Source organism: Homo sapiens, chromosome 4 (genome assembly GCF_000001405.40).
Source record: "Homo sapiens chromosome 4, GRCh38.p14 Primary Assembly".
In the NCBI taxonomy this organism is placed as follows: domain Eukaryota; kingdom Metazoa; phylum Chordata; class Mammalia; order Primates; family Hominidae; genus Homo; species Homo sapiens.
In genome coordinates this window covers 28,315,227-28,335,433 of record NC_000004.12, presented here as the reverse complement: position 1 = coordinate 28,335,433, position 20,207 = coordinate 28,315,227, and the positions used below count along the sequence as shown (strand labels likewise).

The 20,207-nt window shown below is 32.5% G+C and overlaps 2 long non-coding RNA genes across 3 annotated transcripts in view; one reads left to right on the top strand and one right to left on the bottom strand.

Annotated features, from left to right (window-relative positions):
• The window catches only part of LOC105374557 (uncharacterized), a 485,690-nt gene that overhangs the window by 267,766 nt on the left and 197,717 nt on the right, over positions 1-20,207 (bottom strand). The gene's annotated exons all lie outside the window — the stretch shown is intronic.
• Positions 3,606-18,359, top strand: LOC124900843 (uncharacterized). The gene is made up of 2 exons (XR_007058440.1): positions 3,606-3,831; positions 17,896-18,359. It is a non-coding gene; the product is annotated as an uncharacterized LOC124900843 (long non-coding RNA).

The following is a 20,207-nucleotide window of genomic DNA, read 5'->3' as shown; positions in this document are numbered from 1 at the left end:
CCATGGGCTTTTGGTTTATTTCACCCAAAGAGACTACAAATATTCAGTGCATTTCTCCTCTGTCACTTCTATTTATTTCATGTATGCCTCTGTCACTTCTATTTATTTCATGTATGTCTGCTTTTGACATTTATATTAGTCTTTCCTCACACTGCTATAAAGAACTTCCCTAAGACTGAGTAATTTATAAAGGAAAGAGGTTTAATTGGCTCACAGTTTCATATGGCTGAGGAGGCCTCAGAAAACTTACAATCGTGGTAGAAGGGGAAGCAGTGACGTTTTACATGGTGGCAGGTGAGAGAGAAGGCCGAAGGAGGAACTTCCAAATACTCATAAAACCATCAGATCTCGTGAGAACTCACTCACTATCAGGAGAACAGCATGGAGGAACCCACCCCCATGATCCAGTCGCCCCCTCCCTTGACACATGGGGATTACAAATCAAGATGAGGTTGGGTGGGGACACAGAGCCAAACCATATCAAGATTATTTATTAGGTTCTTTGACATCAAATATCCTATCTTTTCTTATTTTCATTTTCATTTTAGTTCTTCCAGAGTTGGTTTTACACAAAAATGAGTTCTAACCTATACTCTCGCTTCTACCAACTCAGCTGTAATGTCACAGTCAGAATTCTGACAGCTTTCCCATGTTCTTCCAAGCATGCCCTTCCTTAGAGACCTTTTTTGTCCTGGCTCCATTGTGACTTCACACTCTTAGGCAACTGATATTTATTATAAGTCGGAGACCATCAGTAAAAAACAGATGAAGAATAATACGGGTCAACTCCAAGGTCTGGTTATATATATCATGTTATTTGGTGGTTGATGATCCTCTTTCCCATAAATCTGTAAAGATAATGTGCATCACATGTAACTACATAGATAGAATCTCAGACATTTCCATCCCCCAAGGCTGCACATTTGCCCCTTCACCTGAGACAGTAGGGCTTTTAGAGTCCTAGCATCCATTCACTCAACTTAGATGGCATTTCCTTTGTCGTTTGAGTTAATGGATGTACAATAATCTTATGGAAGTGTGAAAGGACGTCAAAAGGCACTCCAGCTTTGCCACTATTTCTAGTGCTTTCAGAAGATGACATGACTGATGAATCAAACCTAAATGAAGCCATAGGCATTGTCGGTTACAAATATGCAGGGCACACACTACTGCTAGTTCTCCTGTCAGGACCACAGTACATTTCCTTAGACAGTAATTTAAAGTTAACTTCAAAAATTTCTCCTGGCACAACAAAACAGGGTTAATATTACCATAAAATTACAATCTAAAATTACTATTGTTTTGGACTGCCTAGAATATTTATTAGTAACACTCAGTGTTTGGAGAATAGATAACTATATGTATAAATTTCTCAGGGATCTCTGAGATTCTCAAGGTCAGCCTTTATATTTGATTTACATAAATAAGTACAGAGGCTTTAGAGTAGAGAATATAACAGGATTTGACATCACACAATCATCTTCAAATGCAGGCTATAGCATTACATCTCAGTTTGAGATAATATACAGAAAATAATGCCTATCTAATAAGATAATTTTTAGAATTATGTTACTATCATAGATAATATAAAATAATTGTACTGCAATTAGCATATATTACATTGTCAGAAAAACTTTAAGTGCCTAGTAAATAAACAAAAAAATAGAAAAAAATTAACCAGGAAAAATGCAAGTTAAACAATTCTATAATCAAGAATTTAATTAAGAAATGAAATTTTATTCTTAGAAATTTGAAATATATATATTTCTAAACTATGAATATCAAAGGCCCACAAATTTTTAGCAAAATGAGTTTACTCCTAGCTCTGAAAATTAGTATTAGCATTTTGGAAAAAATATAAATCCAGATATTTTTGACATGATAGACATAAAAATTACTGTAAAGAAACTTTATACTAGTACGTATATGAAATGTCTTTTTAAATAAAAGAAAATATAAAATAAACTATCTCATTTTAGTAGTATAGGTAGAAAAAGTATTATATATGGATATAAGGTAAACATGCATAAATTAAAAATTATAATTATATGAAATATGAAAATAAATTTATTTGAATGGAAAATGCCTGGAAAGCGGAAAATAAAAACTATAAAACCACTATGCTGACAACTACTTAAATAGCTATAAGATGGCATCTAGGTAAAAGATAAGTGATAAAAAGGTTTTTTTCTTGTAAACCAGGATTTTTTTACTTTTATATATTTTTTAAGTGTTTGCAATGCTCATAGTATGGAGAAATAGGAAACTGTACAATTTGCCACTACTTTCTTCATGCCTTCGATATGTCACTTAACTTATCTGAATTTCAGCTCATACATTTATAAATTAGAGATAATTAATCTTATATTATGGATTACTTGGTATCATATGAGTAAATTTCCTGGACCACAGCCTGCAACATCATGGGTAATCAAAATATATTAGTTTGCATGAATTCCTCTTTTATCCCCACATATCTAAAATGTAAAGGGGATGAACCGTATTATCTCAAAATTATCTTCCCATCCGTAGTTAACCATTCCAAGACAACATATTTTACAATATTTAGCATGTGAGGTATTTTGAAATGAGGCATTCATATTTCTGTAAGATATTTGTATCAAAAAAGTCCTGACATTGTATTTCCATGGGACTGTGAGATTTTCTTCATGAAAGTCCTTAAAGTAAAACTAAATGAAAAGCCAACTCTAATATGAAGAAACACTGGTGATTTAAATAATTATTCATAATATATACCATCTTTCTAGAATGACCTTAGGAAAATTAAATCACTAAACAACAAAGAAAAATGCAATAGAAAAAGACTAGTGGAGTCAACCAAGTAATTTATTTATTCATTTAAATTTTTTTTAAGTAAATCATCATGCTAATGAGAGAATCAAAACATTTCCCAATTCAAAAGTTATGTTCTAATTTTGCATTTTTCAATAAATAGATTTCTGTTTTCTGAATATTTTTTCACTCCCATTTCCTCAAAATGTGTTCTTCATCCATGCACTGGTCAGGAAAAAGTCACTTTAATGGGTAAAGGTAAAAGCTGTTCTAAGAGAAGCAGTTCTTCCAACTCTGGCCACCTTGCTGGCTGATAACTTTTTGGAGCATTCATATGTGACATTACACATATCTCTGAAAAAAGAACATATTTCTCATTATCTATCACTTTTGAATAATAGAATGTTAGTCTCACACTTTTATTTTGGTTCTTGTAGGCTGTAAAAGGCCTAGAGAGTGTCCATTCAAATCAAATTTTGACTATTTTTCTCAACACTTATTTCTCTTCTCAGCCTAAGGAGGCCAAATATTCTATCACTTAATGAATTTGAAGATGCCTTAAGGGTTGCCATGGCCTGTTTGTACCATATTTTTCTTTATATAAATTTTGTTGCAATATATGTGAATACAAGTCCAAAAATGGTCAGTGCTTCTGAAGTTTAATCTAGATTGTACCATGGGAGGTCTTTGGAGGAGAGTATCTTCATATGCCTCTCACTGCTCATCTATACAAAAAGGTATATATTAATAACTTAATTGCAGGTTGGTTTAATAAATTATGCATCTCATTTCTGTTTTCACATTTTAGAACATGATAATCCTCTCAGAATCCTCATGTGTTAGTTTCCTGGAACTGCTATAACAGAGTACCACAAATGGAGTGGCTTAAAACAACATAAATGTATTCTGTCCTGAAGGCTGGAAGTGAGAAATCAAGGTGTCAGCAGGGATAGTTCCTTCTGAGGGTTCCGAGGTGGACTCTGTTTCACGCCACTCTTCAAGCTTGTGGTGATGGCTGACAATCTTTGGCATTCCTAGGTTTGTAGATGCAACCCTCCAACCTCTGCCTCCATCTTCACATGGCATTGTCACCATGCCTTTTCTCATTATCCCTCATAAAGATGCTAGCCACACTGATATAGGAGCCCACCCTACTCCATTCATCTTACCTTTTCTAATCTGAAATGATGTAATTTCCAAATAAGGTCATCTTATGAGCTACCAGGGTTAGTACTTTGACATGTACTTTGGGAAGATACAATTCACTGATAATACCCCATTAAGAAATCTCCCTAAATGACTCCTCTGATGAGTTGAACTAGCTGAACTGTCTTCCCACTTCACCCTCAAACCACATAGAGGTTTACCAGCCACCTGTCTGCCATTCTGAAGACTAGACAATTACACTTTTGTTTGTATTGCTTTGTGGCATTTGTTACAAAGAGACTATTTTAAAACTATTGAGTCAACAAGTTATTCTAATAGACCTATGCTACACATCGTACCCTCATATATTGATTTTATTTCCCATGTGGCCAAAGATGCTGCATATGAAAAAAGAGAGAGGCTCCTAAACTTATATGAGACCATCCATCACAAATCAGACTGACATCTTCTCACACAAGTGAGGGAAGCTATGGCGCTTTAATCCCTGACTAATCCTCTTACTTTAAAAATCACCTGTAGTCATCCATTAGCCAATATTTTAAGAGAAACAAGCTAGAGGAGACAGCTCTATCAATACGAAAGGGACTACTTTTAAAAGTGACCTTGCTTATTGAATACTCAGCATTATAAAGGAGTAGCATTCTATACACACACACAGCCTGGAAAATGCTGTGCAGAGAAGAAAGCTCTAGAGAATGATAACATGTCTGTTAGCAGATATGAAACTTGTTAAAATGTGACCTAGACCAACCTGCCGTCAAATCAGTGGAGCAAAATCCTCTGTGAGCCAACAGAAAGCATCGCGCCAACATTGAACAAGACATCACCTAGTTGCAGGTTTCTGTGTATATTCTTTGTGATCCATGCTTAGAATTCTGTACATTTACAAATTCTCTGGTGAGAAACTTGCAATTTGATTAAAAACCTTAAATCTAGAATTTTAATAAAAAACATATTGGATCTCCCTTAGCAAAAGATTATATTAAAAGAGGAACATTTTGAGAGTAAGTTAATATAGAATCTCATCTAGTTTCAAAATCAGATCATTTGACCAACTTAATATTTCAAATTTACTAATCTTTTGCTAATTAAAAGTACATTGTATTTGTGTCTGTTAACATATTTATATAAATTCTTCATCAATCTGTTGTCTATGCTCTGAAAGTTTCATTCTATCTAAATACTACTTGATTGACCTATTTGTAATCAGGCTGATGTGGAATAAATGCCTTTTCATATTTGCAATGAATCTAAGTATCACTATATTCCAGCTATGAGGTGTATGTAATATAGATAATAGAGTATATACTTCTTGCAAAGTTACATGTATTTGCTATACCATCAAATCAGTTTAGCCATTTTGGAACCAAGCTACCTAGAGAGGTATTATTATTATATAGATATGTGTGTGTTTGTGTGTGTGTGTGTGTATTACTTAGCTGGTAGGACTTACTCACCTCGAGAAGGGCAGCTGTACATTATTTTGTTGTTATTGTTGAAATTTCAGGGAAGAATGTTTCTCCTTCAAACTTCAAAAGTGTTTTAAAACTATTATTGTCAACCAGTGGTTCTCACAAATTTTGTTCTCAAGATCTCTATATATGCATTAAAATTACTAAGGACTCCAGAGAACTTTTGTTTGTAGGTGTTGTATTTACTGATATTTATTGGGTTAGAAATTAAAACTCATTTAAGAATGTTTAAATTTTAAATTGATTTTAAATTTAAATATATACATTTACCGACTATTTACAAATATCAATAAACACATTATATGCTAATGTAAATAATACATATGTTATAAAGTAATAACTATATTTTCGAAAACAAAGTGAGAATAGTGCCACTGTTCTATGTTTTTTTAAATATCTTTAACTTTTAGATTAATAGTATACAGCTGGATTCTCATATCTGCATTTGCATACAATGTGGAATGAAATGTTGTTTTAGTTGAAATACATAAAAAAATGAAGGCTCACATAGATAAGTATTTTGAAATTGGATATTTTGACAACATTTTTAGGTAATTTTGGATATTCTTTATAATATGCTACCAAAACTATCCTGTAATGGTTTATTCAAATTACTTGCAATGTGGAAACTGAAATCATATTTGGAAGAAACAATTGTTAGAGGTAATAGTTTTAAAACACTTTTGAAGTTTGAAGGACAAACATTCTTACCAGCGACAATACACTTCTCATACTATGCGATGTTGGTTTATCTTGAAGTTAAAATGGGTATTTTTTCCCAAGCATGAATTGGTAACATCATTCATTTGTCACTGGCTTATGTTGATTTTCCAAAGGAAGGCATATTTTTTATAATGTAACAATTATTAATATCACCAGTGACCTCAGGAAAAAATCTTTTTTTTTTTTTTTTTTTGAGACGGAGTTTCACTCTTGTTGCCCAGGCTGGAGTGCAATGGCACAATCTCAGCTTACTGCAACCTCTGCCTCCTAGGTTCAAGTGATTCTCCTGACTCAGCCTCCCGAGTAGGTGGGATTACAGACTCATGCCACCATGCCCGGCTAATTTATTTTTTGTATTTTTAGTAGAGATGGGTTTTCACCATGTTGGCCAGGCTGGTCTCAAATTTCTTACCTCAGGTGATCCACTTGCCTCAGCAGGTTACAAGCGTGAGCCACCGTGCCAGGCCAAAAAATCTTTCAAGTAGTAAACTATCAAGTTCAAACTAGAAAAATACAAGTTTTTCTAAAATTTTAATTCTTGCTTTAAATCTATAATTTTAACATTGGTAATAAATAGTATCAATTGTTTTCTTTAAAAAGAAAGTGACAGGCTCACTTTGTTCATCTATAAGATGCCAAATACCCAAACCAAAATAATCAATTTTTTTGGTCAGTTGTGTTTTCCACAAAAATATTACTCCTGAAGAGAGGGGCTAGTATAGCTTTCAATTCAATTACATAGTAATTTTCATGGAATAAACCATGTACTTTGGTCAGCAGCAGAAATGCTTTATGTGTAATTCTCATTTTATCACACAGATTACCTTAAGGGTTGAGGTCTTATAAAATAATAACTTTTACTGTTTAATAATGAAAATTGTTAAGTGTAACTGGTATCAGTGGGTATGTGTGTGCTTGTATCTGCAAGGATGTGTTTCCACAAGAACATGGCAATAAAGAATATAGTGACTACAAGAATACTTAATGCCAGCACTTTAATTTATGCTAAGGCACCAGAAGTCTTACCTGCTAATTGCATTTGCATCATCAGGGCAAATTACATTGATAAAGACAAACAGTATCTTAGGGCTATAATAAAAATAGTTTTGATGTCACCTTGCATACCCTCTGAAAGTGCCTCAGGAGCACTTGGAAGTTAATGGACTATACTTTCAGAATCAATGCATAGAAAGGTAACCCTTAGAGGAAGTATCAGTGGAACCCATAACTCCTGATTGTATTTATATATTTAAAATAGTAAACTATGCTTCCCATTCAATCAAAATTGCTCTTTCTAAATTATATTTCTGGTTTAAACATCTTACGTTTTTCTTGCTGCTTCAGATGCCTTTAACTGCATCATTTTTCTTCTGTTTAACATTTTTCAAATTGTAATACAAAAAGGCACCAGTGAAACATTTTTTTCCTGGAAATTCTATGATATAGGACACTTAGAAAGCTTTTAGTTGACAAGACTCAGTTATGTATACTCTTCTTTGCCCCTTATACTAATCACTGTGTGCTGATAACAATGTGAAGCTTTGGCTTTTCTCTTTTGGCCATGCGAAGTACACAAGTTCTCACTGTGATTTTAACCGGTTACATAGGAGATGAGGAAGAATTTTTTTTGACATTCTGAACATCTATCAAAAAATGTATCATCATATTATAACCTAAACTGTCAGGCTATTATATTAATTCCTTTGAAAGATTTCAATTTAGCTAAAGTTTCAAGTAGTGATAATCTTGGTTCTTAATGGATATTATTCTAGTAGCATATCCAGACATACACAAAAAAATCACTTTCTCAAGTGTTAAATATATTTGAAGATAACTTCAGAAAACCATTATGAGATGATGATGATCTTAGATTATAGTCACAAAAAGTCTTTATTTCTAAAACATCAGGATATAGGTACATGTATTTGCTTTTATATGTATGTGTATTATACACGTAAATATAAACACACAGGTATACACACAAAAGTGACTGTGTGTGTGTATGCATAGATATAAAATCATTATATGTATATATAAAAACATTCTCTTTTGCTAGCCTATGTTTTTCCATCACTGGAGAGTCTGCTTTAATTTTACATAAACTCTTGTCTGGAATCAAGTAATTTAAGTAATTAACAATTTATTTAATTAGTCTTAGTTATAGGAAACATCACTCAAATTTAAATTCATATTTATTGGTTACTAAAATTTTAATTTTAATAGCTCTATTAGACAAAAATTGATTGTAATCTCCTTCAAATTTTAATAGTCATTCATTCAGATATTTGTATCAAGAAACAGTTATTGAGACTTGAGATAAAGCAGTAATGAAGAGAGATGTGGCTCCTTTCCTTCATAGATCTTCCATTTTATTAGAGGAGGAGGCAGGATATTATAATTAAGTAAACAAATTAATAATCAAGATAATTCCCAAGATTGTTAAGTGTCCTAAAGAAAATCAAACTAAAGGTTGGAATAGAGAGTTGATTGGTTCTGGGAGGTTCCAATTTAAGTAGTCAAAGGAGGCGACTCTTCTATGTTACACTCAAACTGAATTATGAGAAGCTAGGTGTGTAGAAATCAAACAGAAGAGAATTGAAGATGACAATTCTCTTCAATTGAAGAGAATTGAAGAGAAGAGGTCTGAGATGTTAGAACAGAGAAGTGGTCATTCCATATGGCAACATGAAGATTATTTTTGCTGTTCATATAAGATGAATAAATGAAGTGGAGGAGCCCAAATTCCTCTTACTCAGGGTTAAGTGAAGGACTGGTTCACAAAGCCTGAAAGAATGTAGAGATTTTCTTCAAGTTCACATGTGAATCAGAGTAGAGAAATATGGAGCGAGCTAACAAATTATGTAGCATCAATGGAGAAGAAGTTTAAAATGATTATACTAGAAGGTGGTTTATCTTTAGGAATTGTGGTAAGCTAAATAGGTCCCTTAAATGTGTCCATGGCCTAATTCCCTGTGAATATATTACTTAGATGGCAAAAGGAACTTTGCAGATGTAATTAGTTAAGGATCTTTGGATGGGGAGTTTATCCTGGATTATGCCTGTGAGTCCAGTATAATTCCAAGGATCCTTATCAGAGGAAAGCAGGAGAATCAGAGTCAAAGAAGAAAATGTGCTGATGAAAACAGACTGGAGAGATATGGCCATGAACCAAGAATTGTGGGCAGCCACTATAAGCAGGAAAAAGTAGGGAAGCAGATTCTTCCCTAAAGCCTCCAGGTTTTATTTGGATATTATTTGATTTGATTTGATTTATTTTATTATTATTTGAAAGTCTCGGTTAAAATGCATTTATTTTTCTCAAGACATATACACAAACTCACGTACTGAGAATGAGGGATAAAGGGGATGAAAAGATAATGGAAGAGAAAAGAGTACATATAAGCTAATCCTTTTTCATAGGAAAGGTAGCATACTAGGTGGAAGTAGTAGATTTCTCTTTCCCAAGGAGAAAAGACTAAAGACTAGTCACATTTAGTATAGCATTAAGGTATCAATAAATCTGCAATTTCCAATGTAATCTATGTCAGTTTATTGAATTCAACAAACAATTGTTTAACATATAATATAAGCTGGGTACTATGGTAAATCTTCAAGATTAATGCCATAATCACTGCTTGCAGAGTTTCATAGTTGTTGGTCAAGATGTCAAGTTCAAGATGTCAAATCCAAAGGTAACTTCAAATAGAATATATGAATCTTGTGTCTTGCTAACATTCAAGAGGAGAAAGAACCCAACCATAGTTTGCTAAACTACAGGACAAGTACAATTTTCCAGAAGAGATTAACGTGTCATTTGGGGCTTGAAGGACAAGGATAACAGGAGGATAAGAAGGCCTAGGATAAGAGGTTTCTATGTAAATGTCATTTTTTAAATGCTGTTTTAATGTTTATATTATGGGATGTAAGAACTATCAATCCTATAAATTGTACTTATTATTTAGTTATTACAAAATGTTATAATGTAGTGTTTTTCCAGGCCTTAGAGAGATAATTTGCTTCTTGATTTCTGTAATTTACCTATGGAAGCCAAAGTTCTCCTAAACTTCTTTCCAAGAAAAAAAAATTGCAGCTCTTTCTTTCATGTACTCATTTCCAGCTAACTTACTGAATGTTCACTTTGTTCCACCAGGATAAAGAGAAAAATATAAGGAAATTTAAGAGGCCAGTTTTAATTCATTTTGTTTATAGTTTATCCCTTTGATTTGTAACATTTTCTAATCGATGAAAAGGAACCCTACTTCATAATGAAATTGCCTGGGGTCAAAAATTCAAAACCAAAATATTCACAATAAAGCACACAGAGATGTAGCAATTAAAATGGCATAGCAATAAAATATCACATTGTGATACCTTCTTTTAAAGTAAAAACACCACACATTATACTGCATCATTAATTTTACATGAAAAGATTCATAAATTCTTTCTCTTTGCTCTCTGCCCACATTCAAACTTCTGCACATTAGAAAATAGTAATTTGTGCTTGACTGGATAAAATTCATTCAGTAGCAATTTCTTTTGGTGCTATTGTTGTATGTGTTTTTTCTTACTTTATTGTTATTTTTAATTAGAAAATGAATACATATTTCTTAGAATCCAAAGAATACAGACATTTATAAAGGAAGGGTGAATAGTCTTACCTTTCCCTCTCTTTTCCTCTCTCAACCTTGAGATGTGCTAAAGCAGTGTTGGCAATTTGGTATTTCTGCTTTCAAACTTTACTTTTTAAAAAATCCTTGTGCAAATATACATCCAATGTTTTATTTTCTGTTCTCTCATTTTTATATTTTACAAAACAAAATCGTCCACTGTGGCATAACATGTTATAGACATGTGTCGAGGTCAATAAATAAATAACAAACTAATTTATTTAGCTACTGCATTTTTTACTACTTCATTTATTTAATAATTTTTTACTACTTCATTTATTTAATAATTCCATATTATTTGGCATTTAAATTGTTTTCAGTTATATAACTTGCTTCAATAAATATCCTTGTGCAAATACATACCTGTGTACAAATCTGGCAGTTTCTTGGGATTTGTTGTTGATGTGTGTGTGTGTGTGTAAGTGTGTGTGTGTGTGTGTGTGTGTGTTTTAGCAAAGTTTACTTTTAATAGATAATAGCATCTTGTTTTTACGGAAGGTTGTTCTAATATACACGTCCATCAGCAATGTATAAGTGAACCTTTCATTTAAAAGCAACAACTATGTCAATCTTTAAAATACTTGCTGATATAATACATTAAATACGGTTTTTTTTTTACTGTTTTTATTTTAATTTCCCTCACCACCAGTAATGCTGAAGAGTTGTCTAATATAATTTGATGGCCATCTTCTTTTTCTTTTTTGTAAAGTATCAGTTTATAAACTGTTTTCATTTTTATTGGGATTTTTATATTTTTCATAAGTTTTCAAACGTTCTTCGTGTTTGTAAGTTTAACCCTTGACTTATTATGTATATTTTCAACTTTATGTAGTATACACATATTTTCATTTTATGCAATTATACATGACTATTTTATCTTAAGGTTTCCTAAGATTAAGTTTGACAACTAGAGAACATGTCAATATTTTTCTTTTTTTAATTTGTTAATTATTGCAGCACTTATTATAAAAAATTTAGTACCTTGAAGTTTAATAAAAATGATTATTCTTATGAAGAATATCTAGATTCAATAACTGTTAACATTTTCATACATTTTCTTTGTTTACCTAAGATTTTATTTGTGGAACCATTTGAAAGTTACAGAAATCTTAACATTTTACCCCAAAATACCTTACATGCATCTCCAACAAATAAGGACATTTTTCAGTAGTTCATTCAATTAGCTGCTCCATTTGACCCAGAAAATCAGCTATAATTCCCCAATACGATGGTATTGGGGAATTATACTATCAATCCATATTCAATTATACTTTTATTCTCAAAAGTTATAATTTTTTTTTCTAAACCAGAACACGTCAGTAATGCTAAACTTGCTCACTTTTTAAAGAAAATGACCACCAGATCTTTTTAAGAAAAAGACTCACTTACTTTTCCCACATTTTTTCCCCTTTGCAATTCTCAGGTAATCTATGCAGTGGTTCTTTGGAACTTTACAAATGTCTGTTCTGCAGCCCTTCAATCTTTGGTTTTAGCATTCATTTCTATCTGACTCACACATACACACACATACACACAGATGCATACAAACACCCACATATTAAGGAATCATGAATTTTTAATCTTCTCCAATTACAGAAATGATATTAATAATAACAAAATACTAATTCAGGTGTGTCAGACTTAGCCTATGGGTGTCCCTTTACACTTGACTTCTTTGTTCTTTAGCATGTTCTCATGATATTTTGACTACTTGCTTTGCTTTCTGTTATAAGATGTCCCAACATTACTTAATGCTTTCTTTTTCTGGTCCAGGAAGTGGCCATTTCTCCAAAGAGCCTGGTTCCAATGATTCTTAGCAGTTAATATATTCTTCCTTCTGATTCACTGCCACTATCTTATTTTTGTGGCCGCTTTTTTTCCCTCCTCGCCTCCACTTACCTAAGGGAAATCTCCTATTTCCAAGTGTTTCTCTTTATTCCAGAAGTGGAGCTTTTGCAACACAACCACCACTAGCCCATGTACTTTTCAAGCCCCGTTATTTCCAATCTTCAGGAGCAGGAGCCTGACTCATTGTTGGTGTAGCCACCAGAGTTAACATGGTCTCAGAAGGCCCACTTACACGTAAAAGCACTTGTTTAGAAATCACTGTCACCAAATTATGTGTAGTATGGGTTATGGGTGATTTTTCCTTACCTTCTTGTCAATCTGCATTTTCTGGTTTTGTTCATTTACTTGTTTGTTTACTTGTTTGGATAATGTTAGAGATAGTCCACTTTATGTGGATACTTTATGTTACAGGAAGTAACTGTATTTATATATCTATATCAATATCATTTATATCTATATCAAGATATATTGCTGGTTGCCAATATCCATCTGTTTCTATATTGTATCTCTTTACACCAGTCTAATGGCAAGCTCTGCCAATCATTACAGGGATTATTACCTATTTTAATATGTGCTACTCAAGTCCCTCTTCCATCACCTTCTTTTTTCCCAACTTACTTGAAAATTAATATGAACTATTTTTGCCACATGAATTATTAAATTAGCTTATCCAGTTTCAAAAAGTAATTCCTATTGGAAATAAATGTCATGCATAGAAATATTTGTGAAAGCTGAAGTTTTCTGATAACTTTTATACTCTAAAGGAAGGTACATCTCTTCCAGAATGTTTTATGTCCTTCAGTTATTCACTATAATTTATGCAAGTAACCTACTCTGAATTTACCTTTACATGCTTATTGGTATTGGGGCTCAGAAAATAGTACCCCAGAATGAAGGCCTCAGAAGCAGTCTCACAAGCAGTTTTCTCCGATCTGCTTCTGCCTTCCTATCTCTTAGCCCATTCTCCCCCAAGGCTAGCAATAGATCCCTCTTCCCCAAGGCAGGTCATAGAAACCAGAACCATTTTTCCCCAGTGGTAACCATAAAACCTAAAATGATTATTCTAACTTTCCCTCCATCTTTCTGTGTAAAAACTGACTGTAAATAAATTATCCGACTACCTCGTTTGACTCTAAGTCATAAGACCCCTTTTCCAGAGAGTGCCTGCCTCATGTCCAGAAGAAAAAAATGCATGCTCAAAAAGGACAAGAAGAATCTAGACCACAGCCTTGCTGAGTTTTGCCTCTTAGTTTATTAGCATTAGATTATAAACTTTTTGTTCAATCATGTTTCTACAAGGCTGTCCACACTTTGTTGAACTTAAGGATAAAAATGGACTATTTCCTCTTTTTCTTTGGGTCTTCATTTTGAAGGCTCCCACATATACATGTTAAAAACATTTGTTTGCCTTTTCTCCAATTAGTCTGCCTTTTGTTAGTTGATTTTTAAACAAACCTTCAAAGGGCCCCCCACAGCTGTTTGGATATAACAAATGGACTATCTTCCTCATTTCTATTTATAAACAGGTAAAGTATAACAACAGAAAACTTCATTTTTGTTTGTCTACTATAAAATTAACAAATTATCTTTTATTAAGATTTGTGTAAATATCTTGGGTTTTCTTATTATGCAATTACAATTTATTCTATACAAACCTATAATTTATTTTAGAACTCTATTTTCCTGTCTTTATTTAAGTAATAGTAGTAAGAGAATATTTAGATTCTGTTTCTAAAAACTGCAACAGTTTCAATATTTAATATACGTCACTTTCATTCTTATGTTAACTGCATACATTCAATTGATACCTCTATTCCCATTTCACTAAACTTTGTTTTATTTTTGATTTACTAAAATGTGTAAAATTCATCTCTACACTACATTGTTATAATTACATTGATTTTTTTCTACCTTATAAATATAATAACGTATTTGATTTATTTCCTAATGACAAAGCATTATTTTGTTTCTTGAATGAAATACTTGGTGTTTGGGTATTATTATTATTGAATATACTGATTTTATTTTTTTGTGCTAATATTATATTTAGATTTTTTCAGCTATAATTATAAATCAAATTATTAGGCTTTTGTTTTGTGGTATTTTATTAAGGTTATGCTGGTTTTTACTTCAGTTTAGTAGCTTTCTGTAATTTTCTGTGGTCTTTACAAAAGAAATGGCAGAGAAATTATCTCACTGAACATTCAGTGGTAAAGTCATCCTAAATAGGACATTTTAAAACGTGTATTTTTATAAATTTTTTGTATTATTGATCTTCTGATGTTTTCTACCTCTTCTTGAGTTTCTCTAAAATTTTATATTGTCTTAATATTATATATAACATGATATTCTGTATTGTTTCCTTATTATTTTACCTATTTTCTTGTGTTTGTTGTTTTTGTTTTTAAACAAGCTGACAAATGATTCATATTGTTTATTTACTTTTGCAGTAATGTTTTAAACTTTCAGTGCGAAAGTCTTGCAACTCCTTGGTTAAATTTATTCCTATTTTTTTGATGTTGTTGAAAATTAAATAAATTTTTAAAATTTCCTTTTCAGGTTTTTCTTTGCTAGTATATAGAAAAAAACCCTGATTTTTTGTGTAGGACTGGTACCCTGAAACTTTTCTGAATTCATTTGTTAGCTTTAAGATGTTTTAAATGATTTTTTAGGATATAAAGTCATGTCATCTGGGAATAAAAATAATTGTATAATTTCCCTTCAATTTGGATGCCTTTTATTTCCTTTTCTTGCCTAATTGTTCTGGCCAGAACTTCCAATACAATGTTGAATAGAAGTTGCAAAAACAGGTACTCTTCTCTTTTTCTCATTTTATGGGGAAATATTTCAGTTCTTCACTATTGTGTATCATGATAGCTATGGGTTTCATATCAATGATCTTTATTATGTTGGAGAAGTTCGCTTTTATTTCTAGTTTACTGAGTTCATAAGAGAGTATTGAATTTTGCCAAATTATTTTTCTAGAACAATTGAGATTCTCATTTTTAATGTAATTGTTGTGGTGTATCACATTGATTGATTCTAATGTCGAACCACCCTCACTTTCTTGAAATAAACTCCACTTGGTTATAATGTATAGTGCATTTGCTATCCTACTGGATATGGCTGTTAGTATTCTGTAGAGAAGTTTTGAATCTATAGTTCTGAGGGATATTGGTCTTTAGTTTGCTCTTCTCGTAGTGCCTTTGTTTGGCTTAGTATTAGGGTAATGCTGGCCTCATAGAACAAGTTTGGAAATGTTCTCTCTCTTCTAATTGTTGAAAGAGCTTAAGAAAGATTGATGTTGATTTATTTTTACATGTTTGGAAGAATTTACCAATGAACCCATGTGGTCCTGCACCTTTTCTTCTTGGGTGGTTTTTAAATCTGTATTCAGTATCTTTTCTTTTTTCATGGGTCTGTTCATATTTATTTTTCTTCCTGAGTCAGTTTTTGTATTTATTCTATACCTATACTGTTCCATATACATTTTAGAATAGGCTTATCTGTGTCTTCACAAAACTGGACTGATATTTTGTTGGAATTGCATTAAAACTATAGATCAATTTAGGAAGAATTACTATCTTTTCTATGTTGAATCATATATGTTATAATTTGTCTACTTTTTTTTGTTCCCATTTCCCATTTAGAAACTTCAATTAAACATATATGAAAATGTATTACATTATTTCTCACCTTGCTGAATTTTTTTTCAGTCTTTTTTCTCTCTGTGTGTTTTTGGACACTGTCCATTATATTTTTCAGTTCAATAATCTTTACTTTTACAGTGTGTGATCTCCTGTCTATCCCATCCAAGTATTGTCATTTTGTAAATCTCGACCATGATATCCTTCTCTAGAAGTTCAATTTGTTTTGTAATATCTTCCAAGTCTCTAATTAATATATTTAATCTTCTTTTTTCTTAAATGCAGAGATTACAGTTATATACCTTTTAGCGAAGCCTATCATCTGTCTAATTTCTGGGTGTATATGTATACACTCTAATTTCTCCTAATTATGGTATAAATTTTTCTGGATTTGTATGCTTGGTAATTATTGTTGGATTATGGACACTCTGAATTTTACTGTGTTGGAAGAAAGATGTTTTTGTAGTACTATAAATTTCTTGGCCTTTGCTCTGCAGTGCAGTTAATTTACTTAAAAATGTTTGATCGTTTGAGACTTGCTTTTAAACTTTGTTAGATATGACCAGAGTAGCCGATCTGTTCTGATCTGACACTATTCCCTATAAATTCTAGCTACTTTGCCTTCCCTAAATATCTATCTCCAAATCCTCAGATCAAAGAGACTGTCAGAAACTTCTCTTTAATTGGTAAATTGAGGCAATTTTAAGGATTATTTAATTTCACCTTCTTGCCTAAGTGATCACTCTTCTACGTGATCCAATGTCTTAAAACCATTTGTATATTTTGTCTTAAGTACTAATAGCTTCAGGCAGGAAGTAATTTGGGTACCCATTACAACAATTTTCTCTGGAAGTAGAGATCAGTTGAAAAAGTCATATTGCAGTTGCAGATGAAGATTCGTGGGAAGAACATCCAGATGGAAAAACCAACTAGTAAGAAGTTTGCAGGTGGATATGGGGTTTTCATGTTTGAGGAAGAAAAAAAGAGGTGGAGTAAGACTGTCAGGCAATGGGTGAGAAGAAAATGAGATGAAATGAGACAGACAATGTGCCAAGAATATGCTGTGGAATGTGGGCCAGAGTACAAGTAAAATTAGGTTGTAGCTTTCCTATATGTAAATTGCACCATTTATTACTGTTTCAGAGAGATTGGATTACTATTTTATGAATTTTCTGGTTTGTTACTTTTAAGAATGTTATATTTATCTTTTATCTGTAGTCTACTTGAATAATGTTTCATCTGTAACTATAAATGTACCATAAATTATTTTTCTTTCTGGTGGAAATTATAGAACTATAATTTATCAGAAATCCTATTTTCACAGAGCACAAATTTCTAGCAATATTGTGAAAGAAGTTTCTTGAAATACTTCTCATGTATGTAAAAACCTTAATAGATAATTTCTCAAAATTTGACAATTTTACATATTTGCATGAAAATATCAATTGTCATTGACTTGTGTCCCCCAAATTTATAAGTTGAATCCCTAACAGTCAATGTAACTGTATTTGGAGATAAGAGCTTTAAGGAGGTAATTTAGATAAAGGGAATAATAAAGCTGGTCCCATAATCCAATAGGACTGGTGTCCTCATCAGAAGAGGAAGAGACATCAGAAGCAGGTCTGCACAGAGGAGAAGCCATGCTGGGATACAATGAGAGGGCATCTGTCAGCAAGCCAAGGAGAGAAGCCTCAGGAGAAACCACAGCTATCGACACCTTGATTTTAGACTTCCAACCTCCAGAAATGTGAGAAATACATTTATGTTGTTTTAGCCACCCACTCTGTGATACCGTGTTATGGCAGCCCTAGAAGACTAATATACAAATAACTAGTTGTGAAACTGAAAACTTCTGAAAAAATCTTTATAAAACATCAAATATTATTAACCTTGATTGTAAAAAGACTGAATTTTCTTTCTACTATCTTTATAGAGAAAGATAATACAAAATATTTGTAATATGAATACGAAGTGAAAAAATGTAAGAAAAAAGTATTATAGAGATGTATTAGGTAGCTGATTAAAAATGTTATTTTTCTAGAGTTTGCAATCCTTGTTATTGTTGCACAGATTTTTAAAATGTGCAATTTTTGCTTTTTGTCCTTATTCTAAATGTTCACTCTCATATTTGAGTATGCATTTGTAATTTTGAATTATTTCTTAAAGTAGGCTCCTCAAATTGAGTAAACCTCAGGTTTTACATAATCTGAATCTATCCCTGGTTAAAAGTTCTGGCTTTAAAACCAGAGTGACCTGAATCTGCACACAACTTCAGTATTATCACTGTCTGTGACTTGGGAAATATTTCAAAGGACTTAGGTCTTCTATAACAACACCTACCGCATGAGAGTGTTGTGTTAATTAAATGGCATAGCTGCATATAAAATGACTAGCAGAGTTATCTTCTTATACTTCTTTGGTGGGCTTCAAAATATTGTACCCCAACAAAAGTGACACATGACAACAAAACTGTATTGTTACACTTTTTTGGGGGTACAATATTTTGTTTAAGGTCTTGTGTCACTTAATGATAGGGATACATTCTGAGGAATGTGTTGTTAGGTAATTTTGTCATTATGTGAACATCATAGATTGTACTTATGCAAACCTAGATGGTTGAACTTACTACACATCTGGGCTATATGGTAAGGCCTATTGCTCCTAGGCTACAAAGCTGTACAGTATGTGATAGTAATGAATATTGTCACCAATTATTACACATTGGTATTTATGTATCTAAACATAGCTAAATATTTTTAAAAGGTACATTAAAAGCAGTATAAAAGATAAAAAATGGCCATGTGCAGTGGGTCGCACCTATCATCCCAACACTTTGGATAGACAAGGTAGGAGGATCACCTGAGCATAGGAGTTTAACACCAAGCTTAGGAACATAGTGAGACACCGTCTCTAATAAAGCAAACAAAAATTAGCCAGGTATGGTGGCATGCAACTGTGGTTCCAGCTACTTGGGGGGCTGAGATGGGAGGATCACTTAAGCCCAAGAGTTTGAAGCTGCAGTAAGCCATGATCGTGCCATTGCACTCCAGCTTGGGTGACAGAATGAGACACGGTCTTGGGAAATTTTTTTTAAATTAAAATTTAAAATGATACATATTTCTGAACCCCTTGAGTCCTATAAAGAAAAATTGAATATCAAATTTAATAGGCCAGCTACATTATAATCTTATGGGACCACTATTATATATGCAATCTGCTATTAATCAAAATGTCATTATGCAGTGAGTGACTATATATACATTTATGTAAATAATACATTATAAAAGAAATGAACAATAAACATTTATTAACATATTTTAATGAGCTTTTGATGTTCCTAATAAAGTTAGACTGCTATGGTTTTAATGTATGTTTTTCCCCAAATTTATATGTTGGAATTTAAACTTCAAAATAATGATAAGAAGAGGTGAGGCCCTTAGAAGGTGTTTAGCTCATGGGTGCTCCACACGCAAAATGGAATTAGAGCCTTTATAGAAAGACTTGAGGAAAATAGCTAGACCCTTTCTTGCCCTTCTTCCCTTCTGACTTCCTCTAGTGAGGACACAGAATTTGTCCCACTCAGAGGATGCAGCAATACGGTACCATCTCAGAAGCAGAGAGTAACCCTTTGCCAGACACCAAATCTGCTGGCCCCTTGATCTTGGACTTTCCAGCCTTCAGACCTGCGAGAAATAGAGTTCTATTCTTTATGAATTATCCAGTCTGTGGTATTTATAGTTATAATATCAGGAATAAACTAAGGCCCAGGGGAATTTTATTAAAAGGGAAAATATGAAGCCGCTGCAATCCTAATGGAAAGGCACAAGGAAAAGAGTGAAAAGTATAGAAACTGACTATACAATTTTGTTCTGGGTTAGCCCAGTGGGAAC